This window comes from Homo sapiens, chromosome 11 (assembly GCF_000001405.40).
Source record: "Homo sapiens chromosome 11, GRCh38.p14 Primary Assembly".
In the NCBI taxonomy this organism is placed as follows: Eukaryota; Metazoa; Chordata; class Mammalia; order Primates; family Hominidae; genus Homo; species Homo sapiens.
Window position 1 is genome coordinate 63,078,790 of NC_000011.10, and position 16,592 is coordinate 63,095,381.

At 39.1% G+C, this 16,592-nt stretch overlaps 1 protein-coding gene across 1 annotated transcript in view; it reads right to left on the reverse strand.

Moving 5' to 3' along the window:
* Positions 1-1,150: 1,150 nt before the first annotated feature.
* SLC22A24 (solute carrier family 22 member 24) overlaps positions 1,151-16,592 on the reverse strand; it is a 64,282-nt gene continuing 48,840 nt past the window's right edge. The window contains exons 7-10 of the mRNA NM_001136506.2: positions 4,454-4,668; positions 2,769-2,877; positions 2,131-2,334; positions 1,151-1,211 (exon numbers count right to left, since the gene is read on the reverse strand). Of these exons, the coding sequence (NP_001129978.2) occupies positions 1,151-1,211; positions 2,131-2,334; positions 2,769-2,877; positions 4,454-4,668 (589 nt within the window). The remainder of the gene's footprint in view (positions 1,212-2,130; positions 2,335-2,768; positions 2,878-4,453; positions 4,669-16,592) is intronic.

Below are 16,592 nucleotides of genomic sequence, written 5' to 3' on the forward strand. Positions count from 1 at the left end.
CGTTTTTTTAAGCCCATTGGAAAAGCGCAGTATTCGGGTGGGAGTGACCCGAATTTCCAGGTGCCGTCTGTCACCCCTTTCTTTGACTAGGAAAGGGAACTCCCTGACCCCTCACACTTCCCGAGTGAGGCAGTGCCTCACCCTGCTTTGGCTCACGCACGATGCACTGCACCCACTGTCCTGTGCCCACTGTCTGGCACTCCCTAGTGAGATGAACCTGGTACCTCAGATGGAAATGCAGAAATCACCCGTCTTCTGCATCACTCATGCTGGGAGCTGTAGACTCAAGCTGTTGCTATTTGGCCATCTTGGCTGCCTTCTCTAAATTATTTTTTCCTTGCAAATTGATGTGGATGTTCTGCTGCTAAGGAATTCATCTTCAACATTGTCTCATCTCTTTTAAAAATGCATTATCCATTTGTAAACTACTAATTTCTCTGGAGCATTGTCCCCATAAACTTTTTGTAAAGTCTCAATGATTTCACCATTCTTCCACCTAAGTTTCACCATAAATTTGATGTTTGTTCTTGCTTCTATTTCAGCAGAATTTGTGTTCCTTGGATAACAGCTTTTTTCACACAAACATCTTATCCTTCTTAGTGCTTCAAAATAGATCCTGTTCAGCCATGTTATAAAAAATTAGTACAGATTTATTTTGGCACAAAAATTTGAACTCTATGCATAGTTTACTCATAATATGCATTTTCATGAATTTTTTGAAGACTCTTTCTGTATACTTGGGCATGTTTCTGGAGTCATTACGGTGTGTTAATGCAAACAAATTATAATGCATTTGCTATTACTGTTTTGTTGATTGTAGTTTTATAAAAAGTCCAGCATGTGCTTTACCGTATATGAGTCAGCCTGATCGTCACTCCATGATGCTCTTTTTCCTGAATCATCTTGGCTGTTAGTGATTTTCAGATGAATTTGAAACTAGTTGTGCAACTTCTTCCCAAAAGCAAATCATTATTTCATGGAATCACTTAAACTTATAAGGTATTTTGGAATTACTGATACATGTAGTACCATAATTATAAATGGCATCTGTCTGCACATTATATTTTTGGCTAGTTTTGCAGATATAAAGGCATAATCTTGATTCCCCCTGCCCATTTTGCTCTTCTTTGGATCAGGTCTTGGGAATCTCTTAAAACTGTGTTACTTTCATGCAAGTATCTTCCTGCTTTATGTTTCTTGAATCTTTTCTGCTGAGAAATAGAAATGCAAACAAAAACAAGATTAAGAAACAAAAAATAAATAAGATATAGATTAAGCATATATATACTGTGTGCCTGAGGACAAGCTGCCCTCTACCCACCAGCATTGTAATCCAAGATTCTCTAGATATTGATACTATTGTGTTGGAAAAGGCCCTGATACCTGGGCATTCCTGGGAAGGCAGTGTTGAATATTGATACTCTCACCATTGTCTCTTTGGATCTCAGACCAATGACATCTTTAGTAAATCAAAGCGAGAATTGAAAATTTTAAAGCTATTGTCTTATTTTTCATCATTTAAAATCCTGCTTTCTTTTCTTAATTTTGTCTCCTCAAAATTTCTGTTGCCCATGGCAACAAATTTGCCTAAATCTCAGAGGCATCCCAACAAGATCCATTTCCTTCAGATACATCGTTATTTTTGCAAAGGAGATTTTGCTCTATGCTGTAGTCCCATGATTCTTTGACTGAAGCAATAATTAGGTATGAGGCAATCTCATTCCCTTTCCCACCACATAACAGGCACTCATTGAGCCAATGTGTGATAAAACCAGGGGATGAGAATGAGGCATTTGAGTCTTAGCAGATTTGTGAGAAAACAACAGGAGTGTGTGTTTCCCACAAGGGCAGAAAGTATGTGCCACTCATAATAGGCTAATTTGGATCTTTTCACCACTGAACCTTCTGGTGTGAAATGGTCTGTGTGACATAGAGGGCCTCAAGAGTCTGACTCCATTGTGGATAGGGTAGGCTGCTACTGAACTAAAGGACATGGTGACAAATAGAAAAGTCCTAGGTCTGAGCCTACATGAAGGACAGAGGGCCCCAAATGGTCGTTGACCTTTCTCATTAAACAGCTACAGCACATAGCCACTCCCCACTCAAGTGACAGCTAGAGGGTTTACTCACTCATTTTCCACATCCTGGATGGTGTTAGGAAGAGGTAGATCCCTGGTTTCTGGAAGGAGGAGGATAACAGGGACAGCAAGGATGGGGAAGACTCCATAGGAAATCCAGGGTAGGTGGGGAGAATACGCCATTAAGGTCATCAACAGAGGAGCCAGTGCTGCCCCAGTCCTACCGGACACTGCATTGATTCCTGCAACTGTTGACCTTAGAGTGCAAATAACAATACAAAAAATCTTGTATGAATCTGTACATGTCAGCTCTTTATCATCATTATTTCTTTATGGGGACCAGTACAACAGAGTTACTAAACACATGGGCTTTGACAGCAAGCCCTTAATTGTGACATTTACCTCTGTTGGTTTCTACCTATTTGATAGTATAATGTTGGTAACTGCTCTTAACCTTAGTTTCATAATTACTAAAATAGAGATACCCATAGCATTAATTAACCTGTAGCAATAACCCGCAGCTTTGATAATTTGATAATAATAGCACATATATGGCTCTCAGTTACTCTGTTCATTTCTATTACAGTTAATTCATCTGGCACCTAAACAGTGTCAGTCTTTCATTCACAATGAATATCAATAAATTCAGAAATTTGTGTTTTGAAACCAGATGGTCTTTAGCTCTTGTACCTCAATATGGTGGGGACGAGCTCGTTGTGGTGGACAGAAGCACTGTTGCTAGCAGCAGAAACACTACCAATTCCCAAAGTTGCTAAAACCACACGCAGGATCTGCATTTCTAGAGAGAACAGTGAGAATCAGGAAATCTTGCCTGAAGAAACTTTTCAACCCCCAAATAATTGTAAAAAGATTCTAATGGAGGAATTTGCAAGTGTGAAATATGTGGTAGACAAACTGCAACATGCCAGAGATTGGGGAATGGTTGCGAGGCTGAGAAATATAGACTGTAAAATGGTAGGGCTTAAACATTGAATAAAGGATCTCAATCTCAATCTTCAACTCTTTCTGCACATTTGAGTATTGCCAATTAAGGTGGGGGTAGGGACCAACAGGAAATATTTGTTTTATTTATTCTGTGTAATATTTTCTGTGTACTTCCAGTGGGGGCACAGAACTATATTTGTTCTATTAGAACAATATTCATTTTAATTTTTTCTATGTAATATTTTCTGTGCACCTCCAGTGGGGCATAGAACTATATATAGATAATAACTGAGGAGTTTGTGAGCCATGTCTTGAGCAGTTTAGAGCTAAGAATGTGGGAACAATTTTAGATATGGGACAGATATTCTACCATATAGTAAGAAAAGGACTGGGTTTATTTGGGAGTGGACAGTGTGGAGAGACATAAGCTCTGAATAATTCAGGATTGTAAAACCTAACATTATAAAACCTAACTCCTATTTGGAAATAAATAATATCACACTGGGAACCATTGACACTGAAAATTCAAAAAGGTACTTTTTCATCAATAAAAATATCAAAATAGGATTTTAAAACAGTGGAGAAGGCTCTCCTATAAGGCAGAAAACTTACACCAGCAGGAGGCATGGAGCCCACCAGTCTGGGAATCCTGCAAAATATGTTCCTGCTCTGGGAGATGAGTGGAATATAGTGACCACTAATGTTCCCATAATCATTACAGAAGGTCATTCTATTAATTTAACTTAGGAAAGTGGATTTTAAGAGAGGCTGGGTCAGCTTCTTAATCTGTTCCTTGTTTAGGGGTAGATTATAAAACAGATAAAGAGATATTAAGATGAGACTTTTTCTTGTTCCAACTGTACACTTCATTTATGGTTGAAGACAAGGAATTTTTATTTCAGCAAAGTCAAGAAGCCTTTTCTAAAAAAGTGTTGCATTTATATGAGATAATAGGGAACTCAAAAGTGAATATACAGGGAAGAGGATATGGACAAGTTAGAGAGACCTCAAAAATTAGAAAGTGTCCTAGACAGAGGCAGTGAGGGCATTGTGTGCCCACTTTGGCATACAGTTGCAAGGCCTAGCCCCTCCACAATAGCTATAAAAGGGTGATTAGCCAAAAAGCATGTGCTTAGTTACTTTTCTAAAGAAACCATTAGGTGTAATTGGAGCCCATGTCCAGATTCATCTTGGCTGTGATGAAGACAACCGTGTGTCTGAACCATCACGGCTGACATTGATTGAGTAAGAGCCCAAGTGCTGAAAACAACATATTGTCAGAATCAGTTCCAAACCCTCATATTAACTTCAGGGAATCTTTTGGCTGTCAAGGGCAATGCTGTTCTTTTGGCACCAGGCATAAAAGACCAATGTAATCCCTGGAGAATGGGGGTAACTACTTTCTTTCCTGAAACTCCTGTCTCTCTCACCTTGGGGCAAAAAGGTGTTGACCAGAATGAAAAGTCCCACCGGGAACGTGAACAATATCTGGCTTATTCGACGACCCATATGATTCAGTGTCAAAAGGGAAACACATCTGGCTGTGAATGTGACAGCTCCACAGAGAATCTGGAACAGGGAGACATTGCTCCCTAAGTGCTGCAAGTTGAGTATCAGGCCATAAAAGGGTACAGTGATTGCGAATCTGAAGTGAATAAAAAGGACAAAGACATATTCAATAAGATTTAAAGCCTAGGAAACATTTTCTGAGATTTTGAAGGTAAGTCCTACAAATGATTATAATATTGACCCAATTGGCAAATGGTGTTTTTCCTTTTAAAAAAGGGATCATTCTGTTTTATAGACTATTTCCTTTTCAGACAATGGTCTTAAAATAACATAAAATAATTGTGGAACATGATGTTAAAATGGGCTCTTCATTGTCATAATTTTTACTGGGTCCTGAAGAAAAGAGATAGCAAACATACATATTATCAATGAAAGTTAAAAACCTACCCATGTAGAAAAAGTAATGTGAAATCTGAATTCATCAGTCAACTGGATGATATAAATGATTGGACATGGGTAGGGTTAGATGATGGAAATTAGGGGAATAGTTTCTTTGCAGCAGTTCAGCATTGTGTGAGTCAAACTTCTCTGCTCCCGTTCAGAGACCTTCTTTACCTTAGTCTTAGTAATCCCTGGAGAATGGGGGTAATACTTACTTGTATAATCTGGCCCACAGATTATACAAGTGGAGAGGAATCATAACACATTTACATAGAGAAAAGGTCAACAATATCTTTTTACCCTTCTTACCATATCAACCACCAAGGTCAGCTTGAACTACAGAAACAGAGAATCTCTAACTCTGAATGAATATCTAACCTTCTTTACCTTACCTTAGTGAGGCTGCAAGGGCACTGTAGGCAAGAGCTTTCCATGTGTTTCCTGGACTTGAGTGCAGTGGCCTGACATTTCTAAGCAGTCTAAGAGCTACAAGCAATGGGTTATTAAATCATCAGAATTGAGATAAAGGGGCTGGCAGGTAAATATACTTCCAGTAAAATAAGGTAGGGATGCCTGTATTTGCTCGCAGGTTGTATAGGCTCTGAAAGAGAGAGCTTGTATGGAATCATTTTAATCCCTCTGTGGAAAGAGGAAAGGAGAAAAGAGTGTTGGGGTGGGGAAGGCGACCAGCAATAAGGCAATGCAAAGCCAAATTGATTAGCAGGGCCTAGAGAGAAAATGTATGCAGGAGCCAGAGGAAAATGCATTTCTTGCATCACAAGAAATGGAGTGAATGCCAAGTGGTTACAGTGGAGGCCTCCAAGGAATTTACATAAAGGCACCCAGGGAAAGGAGTCTGATTTGATCATCCACCATGCCCAGCATCCAACAGTTACCAATGCCCGACCTTTGCTTTCTTTCCCCCTCTCTAGGTATGTAGAGTGTAGAAACCCGGCTCACAGATTATACAAGTGGAGAGGAAGCATAACACATTTACGTAGAGAAAAAGTCAACAATATCTTCTTACCCTTCTTACCATATCAACCACCAAAGTCAGCTTGAACTGCAGAAACAGGTTCTCTAACTCTGAATGAATATCTGAGGTTTAATTTTCATATGTGGCTGAAATATATGTATTACTAAGATGAGGCTATTCTTGTGAGTGAGAGGATGGGATTTTTTTTTTTTTTTATTACTGAGAAGGAGAGTATGTGTTATGTGGCTTGTCAGAGATTTCATCAGGGATAGGGAAAGAACCACAGAGCAGGTTTAAGAGAAAGCTAAGAAGGGATTAGGTGAAGATGATGATTTTCTGTTTTCATGATTAGGCCCTGTGCTTTCTCATTATTCGACATGAATTATTTTGATAAAACTTGCAGATAAAATTTGAGGAAAAAATTAACATTTTAGAAAAATTCATAGATATAAAATTTCTATAAATTTTATAATTATGAAAGAATACCGCATATTACTTAGAGATAAATACCAATGTAGCAACGTATAATGAAAGTCTTGGGGATGATAAAACAAAAAACCTGGAAAAAAAGGTTGGGAATATGCCCATGGAGGTTTATACAGAAGGCCTCCATTATCTTGGTCTGATTGTCTTTCTTAATGTGGGTAATGAGGTGTTTTTAAATTATAGTTACAAGTTTACTATCATGTATGCCTTAAATAATCAATAGTACATTAAAAAATATAAACAGAATTAGGCTAATTAAAGGGTGTCCTTAATTTTGTAATTTGCTTTGACAGCAGGTTTTCGTCTGAGACATGAAATCAATTTGCATAGTTCCATTTTTTGACTGAAATGATAATTTATGGAGAGGAAAAGAAAATACAAACAGATGAACAAATAAAGAAATAAAAAGCAAATATTCTATTTAAGTTCCTTGAATGCAGAGTTTAGATCTTAATGCCTCTGCAACCTTAACACATAGCCCAGTGCCTTCGCACATTTTATATTTTCCATAGACATCAGGAGGTCATGACGATGAATGGTGACAATGATGACGATGATGGTAATGATAATAACAAAATAATTATCATAATCCTGCCAAAACCAATGATTATTCTCCCTGCAAACATATATGAGCAGAATGCACATATTTTCTTTTGCTGGCTATCATATTAGCACTATCAGGGACTCTAGTCTTTAGTGCCTGAAAGCAGTCTGGTTGTCACTCTCCTAATCCATGATATAGAAACTTCTTTACAAGGAGATCCAATCTCACACCAGTCAGAATGGCTATTACTAAATGGTCAAAAAATAACAGATACCGGTGAGGATGGAGAGATAAGAGAATGCTTATACACTGCTGGTGGGAATGTAAATTAGTTCAGCCATTCGTGGAAAGCAGTATGGTGATTCCTCAAGGAATTTAAAACAGAATTACCATTTGACCCAGCAATCCCATTATTGGATATACACCCAAAGGAATATAAATCATTCTACTATAAAGATGCATGTATGTCTGTGTTCATCACAGCTTATTCATAATAGTAAAGACCTAGAATCAACCTAAATGCCCATCAATGGTAGACTGGATAAAGGAAATGTGGTACACATACACCATGGAATACTATGCAGCCATAAAGAGGAACAAGATCCTGTCCTTTGCATCAACATAGATATAGCTAGAGGCCATTATCCTAACTGAACTAACACAGAAACAGAAAATCAAATACCACATGTTCTCACTTATGAGTGGGAGCTAAATATTGAGTACATATGGACACAGAGAAGAGAAAAACAAAAATAATCTGTACAACAAACCTCTGTGAAATGAGTTTACCTATATAACAAGCCTGCTCATGTACCCTTGAGCCTAAAATAAAACTTAAAAAATTTTATATTGAATTTTTACCAAAATAGACAATAACTTGAAGGTCCACAGCTATTTGGAAACTAAGCACAACATTTATCCAAAACCATTGGGTCAAAGAGGATCCAAATCATGAATTAGAAATTTAGACTAATTTAGAATAAAAATACAATATCTCAAAATATATGGAAATGAGTAACTATGTGAGATTATGAATATGCTAATTTGTCTCACTATAATAATTTTACTATACACATCTCTCATAACATCATAGTGTATACCTTAAACATACACAATACAATTTGTTAAAAAAATATGGGATGTAGGTTTGGCAATGCTAACAGGGAACTTTATAGTTCCTTTGTAGTACTGTGCATTTATTAGGAAAAATGAAAGTTTGCAAAAAAAATGAATTAAGCTTTTCTGCCTGGAGGGCGCACACACACACACACACACACACACACACACACAGAGGGAGAGAGAGAGAGAGAGAGAGAAACCCAAGTAAGTAGAAGCAAAGAAATAATAAAAATAAGAGTAGAAATCAGGGAGGGGCCAAGATGGCCAAGTGGGAACAGCTCTGGTCTGCAGCTCCCAGCAAGACCCATGCAGATGGTGGGTGATCTCCGCATTTTCAACTGAGGCACCCAGTTCATCTCATTGGGACTGGTTAGGCAGTGGCTGCAACCCACAGAGGGCAGGCAGAAGCAGGGTGGGGCGTCAGCTCACCCGGGAAGTGCAAGGAGCCAGGGACTTCCCTCCCTGAACCAAGGGAAGCCATGAGGGACTGTGCTACATGGCCGGGTTACTACACTTTTCCTACAGTTTTTGCAATCTGCAGATCAGGAGATTCCCTCGTGTGCCTATACCACCAGGGCCCTGGGCTTCAAGCACAAAACTAGGTGGCTCTTTGGGCAAACACTGGGCTAGCTGCAGCAGTATTTTTTCATATTCCAGTGGTGCCTGGAACCTTAGCAAGACAGAACCATTTACTCCCCTCCCCTGGAAAAGGGGCTGAGGCCATGGAGCCAGGTGGTCTCGCTCAGTGAGTCCCACTCCCATGGAGCCCAGCAAGCTAAGAACCACTGGCTTGAAATTCTTGCTGCCAGCGCAGTAGTCTGAAGCCTGCCTGGGACGATGGAGCTTGGTGGGGGGAGGGGTGTGCGCCATTCCTGAGGCTTTAGTAGGCAGTTTTCCCCTGACAGTGCTAAGGAGGATGGGAGGTCTGGGCTGGGCATGGTAAAGTGGCTGTGGCAAGACTGCTTCTCTAGATTTCTCCTCACCGGGCAAAGCATCTCTGAAGGAAAGGCAACAGCCCCAGTAAGAGGTTTACAGACAAAATCCTCATTTCCCTGGAAGAGAACACCTGGGGGAAGGAGTGGCTGTGGGCGCAGCTTCAGCAAATTTAGTCATTCCTGCCTGCCAGCTCTGAAGAGCACAGCTGATCCTGACAAGAGTGATTCTCCCAATAGAGTGCACCAGCTCTGCTAAGGGACAGATTGCCTCCTCAAGTGGGTCCCTGACCCCCACGCCTCCTGACAGGGAGAAACCTCCCAACGGGGTCAACAGACACCTCATACAGGAGAGCTCCAGTTGGCATCAGGCTGGTGCCCCTCTGGGATGAAGCTTCCAGAGGAAGAAGCAGGCAGCAATCTTTGCTGTTCTGCAACCTCCACTGGTGATACCCAGGTGAAAAGGGTCTGGAGTGGACCTCAAACAAACTGCAGCAGACCTGCCAAAGAGGGACCTGACTGTTAGAAGGAAAAGTAACAAACAGAAAGCTACAACATCAACATCAACATCAACATAAAGGACTCCACACAAAAACCCCACCTAAAGGTCATCAGCCTCAACAATCAAAGGTAGATAAATCCAAGAAGTTGAGGAAAAATCAGTGCAAAAATGCTGAAAATTGCAAAAACCAGAATGCCTCTTCTCTCCAATGATCCCAACTCCTCTCCAGCAAGGGAACAAAACTGGGCAGAGAATGAGACTGATGAATTGACAGAAGTAGACTTCAGAAGGTGGGTAATAACTCCTCTGAGCTAAAGGAGCATATTCTAACCCAAGGCAAGGAAGATAAGAACCTTGATAAAAGGTTGCAGGAACTGCTAACTAGAATGACCAGTTTAGAGAAAAACATAAATTACCTGATGGAGCTGAAAATCACAGCATGAGAACTTCATGAAGTACATACAAATATTATAGCCAAATTGATCAAGCAGAATAAAGGATATCAGAGAATGAAGATCAAGTTCCTGAAATAACGTGTGAAGAAAAGATTAGAGAAAAAAGAATGAAAAGGAATGAACAAAGCCTCCAAGAAACATGAGACTATGAAAAGACACAACCTACGATAAATTGGTGTCCCTGAAAATGATGGGCAGAATGAACCAAACTGGAAAACACACTTCAGGATATTATCCAGGAGAACTTCCCCAACCTAGCAAGACAGGCCAACATTCAAATTCAGGAAATACAGAGAACAACACTAAGATACTCCTCAAGAAGAGCAAACCCCAAGACACATAATTGTCAGATTCTCCAAGATTGAAACAAAGGAAAAAATGTTAAGGGCAGCCAGAAAGGTCAGGTTACCTACAAAGGGAACCCCATCAGACTAAAAGTGGATCACTCTGCAGAAACCCTACAAGCCAGAAGAGAGTGGGGGCCAATATTCAACATTCTTAAAGAAAAGAATTTTCAACCCAGAATTTGATATCCAACCAAATTAAGTTTCATGTGAAGGAAAAACAAAACCCTTTCCAGACAAGCAAATACTAAGGGATTTTGTCACCACCAGGCCTGCCTTATGAGAGCACCTGAAGGAAGCACTAAATATGGAAAGGAAATACTGGTACCAGCCACTGCTGAAACACAGCAAAATATACAGAGCAATAACACTATGAAGAAAGCGCATCAACTAATGGGCAAAATAACCAGCTAGCATCATGATGATAGGATCAAATTCACACATAACAATATTAACCTTAAATGTAAATGGGCTAAATGCCTCAATTAAAAGACACAGAATGACAAACTGGATAAAGAGTCAAGACTCATCTAATGTGCAAAGATACACATAGGCTCAAAATAAAGGGATGGAGGAAGATTTATCAAGAAAATGGCAAGCAAAAAAAGCAGGAGTTGCAATCTTAGTCTCTGATAAAACAGACTTTAAGCCAACGAAGATTAAAAAAGACAAAGAACAAGGCCGGCCGCGGTGGCTCACGTCTGTAATCCCAGCACTTTGGGAGGCCGAGGCGGGTGGATCACAAGGTCAGGAGGTCGAGACCATCCTGGCTAACACGGTGAAACCCCGTCTCTACTAAAAATACAAAAAATTAGCCAGGCGTGGTGGTGGGCGCCTGTCGTCCCAGCTACTCGGGAGGCTGAGGCAGGAGAATGGCGTGAACCCAGGAGGCAGAGCTTGCAGAGAGCTGAGATCGGGCCACTGCACTCCAGCCTGGACGACAGAACGAGACTCTGTCTCAAAAAAAAAAAAAAAAAAAAAAAAAGACAAAGAATGGCATTACATAATGGTAAAGGGATCAATGCGACAAGAAGAGCTAACTATCCTAAATATATATGCACCCAATGGAGGAATACCCAGATTCATAAAACAAGTTCTTAGAGACCTACAAAGAGGCTTAGACTCCCACACAATAATAGTGGGAGACTTTAACACCCCACTGTCAATATTAGACAGAGCAACAAGACAGAGAATTAACAAGGGTATTCAGGACTTGAACTCAGCTCTGAACCAAGCAGACCTAATAGACATCTACAGAACTCTCCACCCCAAATCAAGAGAATATACATTCTTAGTGCCACACAGCATGTATTCTAAAATTGACCACATAATTGGAAGTAAAACATTCCTCAGCAAATGCAAAAGAACGGAAATCATAACAGTCTCTCAGACCACAGTGCAATCAAATTAGAACTCAGGATTAAGAAACTCACTCAAAACCACACAACTACGTGGAAATTGAACAACCTGTGCCTGAATGACTACTGGGTAAATAATGAAATTAAGGCAGAAATGAAGTTCTTTGCCCCAGAACTTAAAGTACAATAAATAAATAAATAAATAAATAAATAATAGCTATCTTAAAAAAAAAAGAAGTTATTTGAAACCAATGAGAACAAAGACCCCAAGTACCAGAATCTCTGGGACACAGGTAAAGCAGTGTTAAGAAAGAAATTTTGTAGCCCTGAATGCCTACCACAGAAAGCTGGAAAGATCTAAAACTGACATTCTAATATCACAATTAAAAGAACTAGAGATGCAAGAGCAAACAAATTCAAAAGCTAGCAGAAGACAAGAATTAAGAAATAAGATCATAGTAGAGTTGAAGGAGATAGAGACATGAAAAACCCTTCAAATAATCAATGAATCCAGGAGCTGATTTTTTGAAAAGATTAACAAAATAGATGGACCGCTAGCTAGACTAATAAAGAAGAAAAGAGAGAAAAAGAGGTATCACCACTGATCCCACAGAAGTACAAACTACCATCAAAGAATACTATAAACACCTCTACGCAAATAAACTAGAAAATCTAGAAGAAATGAATAAATTTCTGGACACACACACCCTCCCAAGATGAACTTAGGAAGAAGTCAAATCCCTGAGTAGGACGATAACATGTTCTGAAATTGAGGCAGTGAGTAATAGCCTACCAACCAAAAAAGGGCAAGGACCAGAGAGATTCACAGCCGAAGTCTACCAGAGGTACAAAGAGGAGCTGGTACCATTCCTTCTGAAACTATTCCAAACAATAGAGGAAGAGGGACTTCTCCCTAACTAATTTTATGAGGCCAGCATCTTCCTGATACCAAAAGCTGGCAGAGACACAACAACAAAAAAGAAAATTTCAGGCCAATATCCCTGGTGAACATCGATGAGAAAATCCTCAATAAAATACTGTCAAACTGAATTCAGCAGCACATCAAAAAGCTTATCCACCACGATCAAGTCAGCTTTATCCCTGGGATGCAAGCCTAGTTCAATATACACAAAACAATAAACATAATCCATCACATAAACAGAACCAATGACAAAAACCACATGATTATCTCAATAGATGCAGAAAAGGCCTTTGATAAAATTCAACACCCTTTCATGCTAAAAACTCTCAATAAACTAGGTATTGATGGAACATATCTCAAAACAATAAGAGCTATTTTTGACAAATCCATAGCCAATATCATTCTAAATGGCAAAAACTGGAAGCATTTCCTTTGAAAACCGGCACAAGACAAAGATACCCTCTCTGACCACTCCTATTCAACATAGTATTGGAAGTTCTGGCCAAGGCAATCATGCATGAGAAAGAAATAAAGGTATTTAAATAGAGAGGAAGTCAAATTGTCTCTGTTTGCAGATGACATGATTGTATATTTAGAAAACCCCATCATCTTAGCCCCAAAACTCCTTAAGCTGATAAGCAACTTCAGCAAAGTCTCAGGATACAAAATCAATATGCAAAAGTCACAAGCATTCCTATACACCAACAATAGACCAGCAGAGAGCCAAATCCTGAGTGAACTCCCATTCACAATTGCTACAAACGGAATAAAATGCCTAGGAATACAACTTACAAGGGACATGAGGGACTTCTTCAAGAAGAACTACATACCAGTGCTCAAGGAATAAGAGAGGACACAAACAAATGGAAAAAAATTCCATGCTCATGGATGGGAATAATCAATATAGTGAAAATGACCATACTGCCCAAAGTAATTTATAGATTCAATGCTATTCCCATGAAGCTACTAGTGACTTTCTTTGTAGAATTAGAAAAAACTAGTTCAAATTTCAAATGGATCAAAAAGGACACTGTATAGCCAAGAAAATCCTAAGGAAAGAGAATAAAGCTGGAGGCATCATGCTACCTGACTTCAAACTATACTACAAGGCTACAGTAACCAAAACAGCATAACACCGCACATCTACAACCATCTGATCTTTGACGAACCTGACATAAACAAGCAATGGGGAAAAGATTCCCTATTTAATTAATGTGCTGGGAAAACTGGCTATCTTTATGCAGAAAACAGAAACTGGACCCCTTTCCTACACCTTATATAAAAATTAACTCAAGATGGATTAAAAATTTAAATGTAAAACCCCAAAACCATAAAAACTCTGTAAGAAAAGCTAGGCAGTGCCATTCAGGACACAGGCATGGGCAAAGACTTCATGACTAAAACACAAAAAGCAATTGAAACAAAAGTCAAAATTGACAAATGGAATCTAATCAAACTAAAGAGCTTCTGCACAGCAAAATAAACTATCATCAGAGTGAACAGGCAACCTACAGAATGGGAGAAAATTTTTGCAAGCTACCTATCTGACAAAAGGCTAATATCCAGAATCTACAAGAACCTTAAACAAATTTACAAGAAAACAAACAACCCCATCAAAAAGTGGGCAAAGGACATGAGCAGACATTTCTCAAAAGAAGACATTTATGTGGCCAACAAACATGAAAAAAAGCTCATCGTCACTGGTCATTAGAGAAATGCAAGTCAAAACCACAATGAGATACCATCCCATGCCAGTTAGAATGGTACTCATTAAAAAGTCAGGAAACAACAGATGCTGGAGAGGCTGTGGAGAAGTAGAAACGCTTTTACACTGTTTGTGGGAGTGTAAATTAGTTCAACCATTGTAGAAGAGAGTAGTGTGGTGATTCCTCAAAGATCTAGAACCAGAAATATTATTTGACCCAGCAATCCCATTGCTGGGTATATACCCAAAGTATTATAAATCATTCTACCATAAAAACACATGCACACGTATGTTTATTGCAGCACTATTTATAATAGTAAAGTCTTGGAACCAACCCAAAGACCCATCAATAATAGACTAGATAAAGAAAATGTGGCACATATACACCATGGAATACTATGCAGCCATAAAAAGGAATGGAATGATGTCCTTTGCAGGAACATGGGTGGGGCTGGAGGTTATTATCCTTAGCAAACTAATGCAGAAACAGAAAACAAAATCCTGCATATTTTTATTTACAAGTGGGAGTTAAATGATGAGAACACATCATCACATAGAGGGGAACAATAGACACTGGGGCCTACCTAATTGGGGAAGGTGGGAGGAGGGAGAGGATCAGGAAAAATAACTAATGGGTATTAGGCTCAATACCTGGGTGATGAAATAATCTGTACCACAAACTCCTGTGACACGAGTTTACCTATATTACAAACCTGCACATGTGCCCTTGAACTTAAAATGTAAGTTAAAAAAATAAAATGCAAATTAAATTTACAATGTGATACTATATGCAGTCATTGGAATTATGAACTTAAAAGATTTCACAATAAGTCATATTGGCAAAATATGGAACAACCAAAATTCTTTTTTTCCTGTATTTAAAAAAAAATTTGTTATTATTATACTTTAAGTTTTAGGGTACATATGCACAATGTGCAGGTTTGTTACATATGTATACATGTGCCATGTTGGTGTGCTGCACTCATTAGCTTATCATTTAGCATTAGGTATATCTCCTAATGCTATCCCTCCCCCCTCCCCCGACCCCACAACAGTCCCCAGAGTGTGATGTTCCCCTTCCTGTGTCCATGTGTTCTCATTGTTCAATTCCCACCTATGAGTGAGAACATGCAGTGTTTGGTTTTTTGTCCTTGCGATAGTTTGCTGAGAATGATGGTTTCCAGTCCCTACAAAGGACATGGACTCATCATTTTTTATGGCTGCATAGTATTCTATGGTGTATATGTGCCACATTTTCTTAATCCAGTCTATCATTGTTAGACATTTAGATTGGTTCCAAGTCTTTGCTATTGTGAATAGTGCCACAATAAACATACATGTGCATGTGTCATTATAGCAGCATGATTTATAATCCTTTGGGTATATACCCAGTAATGGGATGGCTGGGTCGACTGGTATTTCTAGTTCTAGATCCCTGAGGAATCGCCACACTGACTTCCACAATGGTTAAACTAGTTTACAGTCCCACCAACAGTGTGAAAGTGTTCCTGTTTCTCCACATCCTCTCCAGCACCTGTTGTTTCCTGACTTTTTAATGATCGCCATTCTAACTGGTGTGAGATGGTATCTCATTGTGGTTTTGATTTGCATTTCTCTGATGGCCAGTGATGGTGAGCATTTTTTCATGTGTCTTTTGGCTGCATAAATGTCTTCTTTTGAGAAGTGTCTGTTCATATCCTTCACCCACTTTTTAATGGGGTTGTTTGTTTTTTTCTTGTAAATTTGTTTGAGTTCTTTGTAGATTCTGGATATTAGCCCTTTGTCAGATGAGTAGGTTGCAACAATTTTCTCCCATTGTGTAGGTTGCCTGTTCACTCTGCTGGTAGTTTCTTTTGCTGTGCAGAAGCTCTTTAGTTTAATTAGATCCCATTTGTCAATTTTGGCTTTTGTTGCCATTGCTTTTGGTGTTTTAGACATGAAGTCCTTGCCCATGCGTATGTCCTGAATGGTAATGCCTAGGTTTTCTTCTAGGGTTTTTATGGTTTTAGGTCTAAGATTTAAGTCTTTAATCCATCTTGAATTAATTTTTGTGTAAGGTGTAAGGGATCCAGTTTCAGCTTTCTACATATGGCTAGCCAGTTGAAGTGCACATTTGCACATCCAGTTTGGAATATTGATTGATAGTTCACTATAGCCAAATATACATGTGCCTTAAACCCAGGAATTCATAATAGCCCACAAGTGGAAAAAAATCCAAAACCCATGAACACCAGAATAGACAGATAACTTATGGAATATTCATATAAGAGAAAATG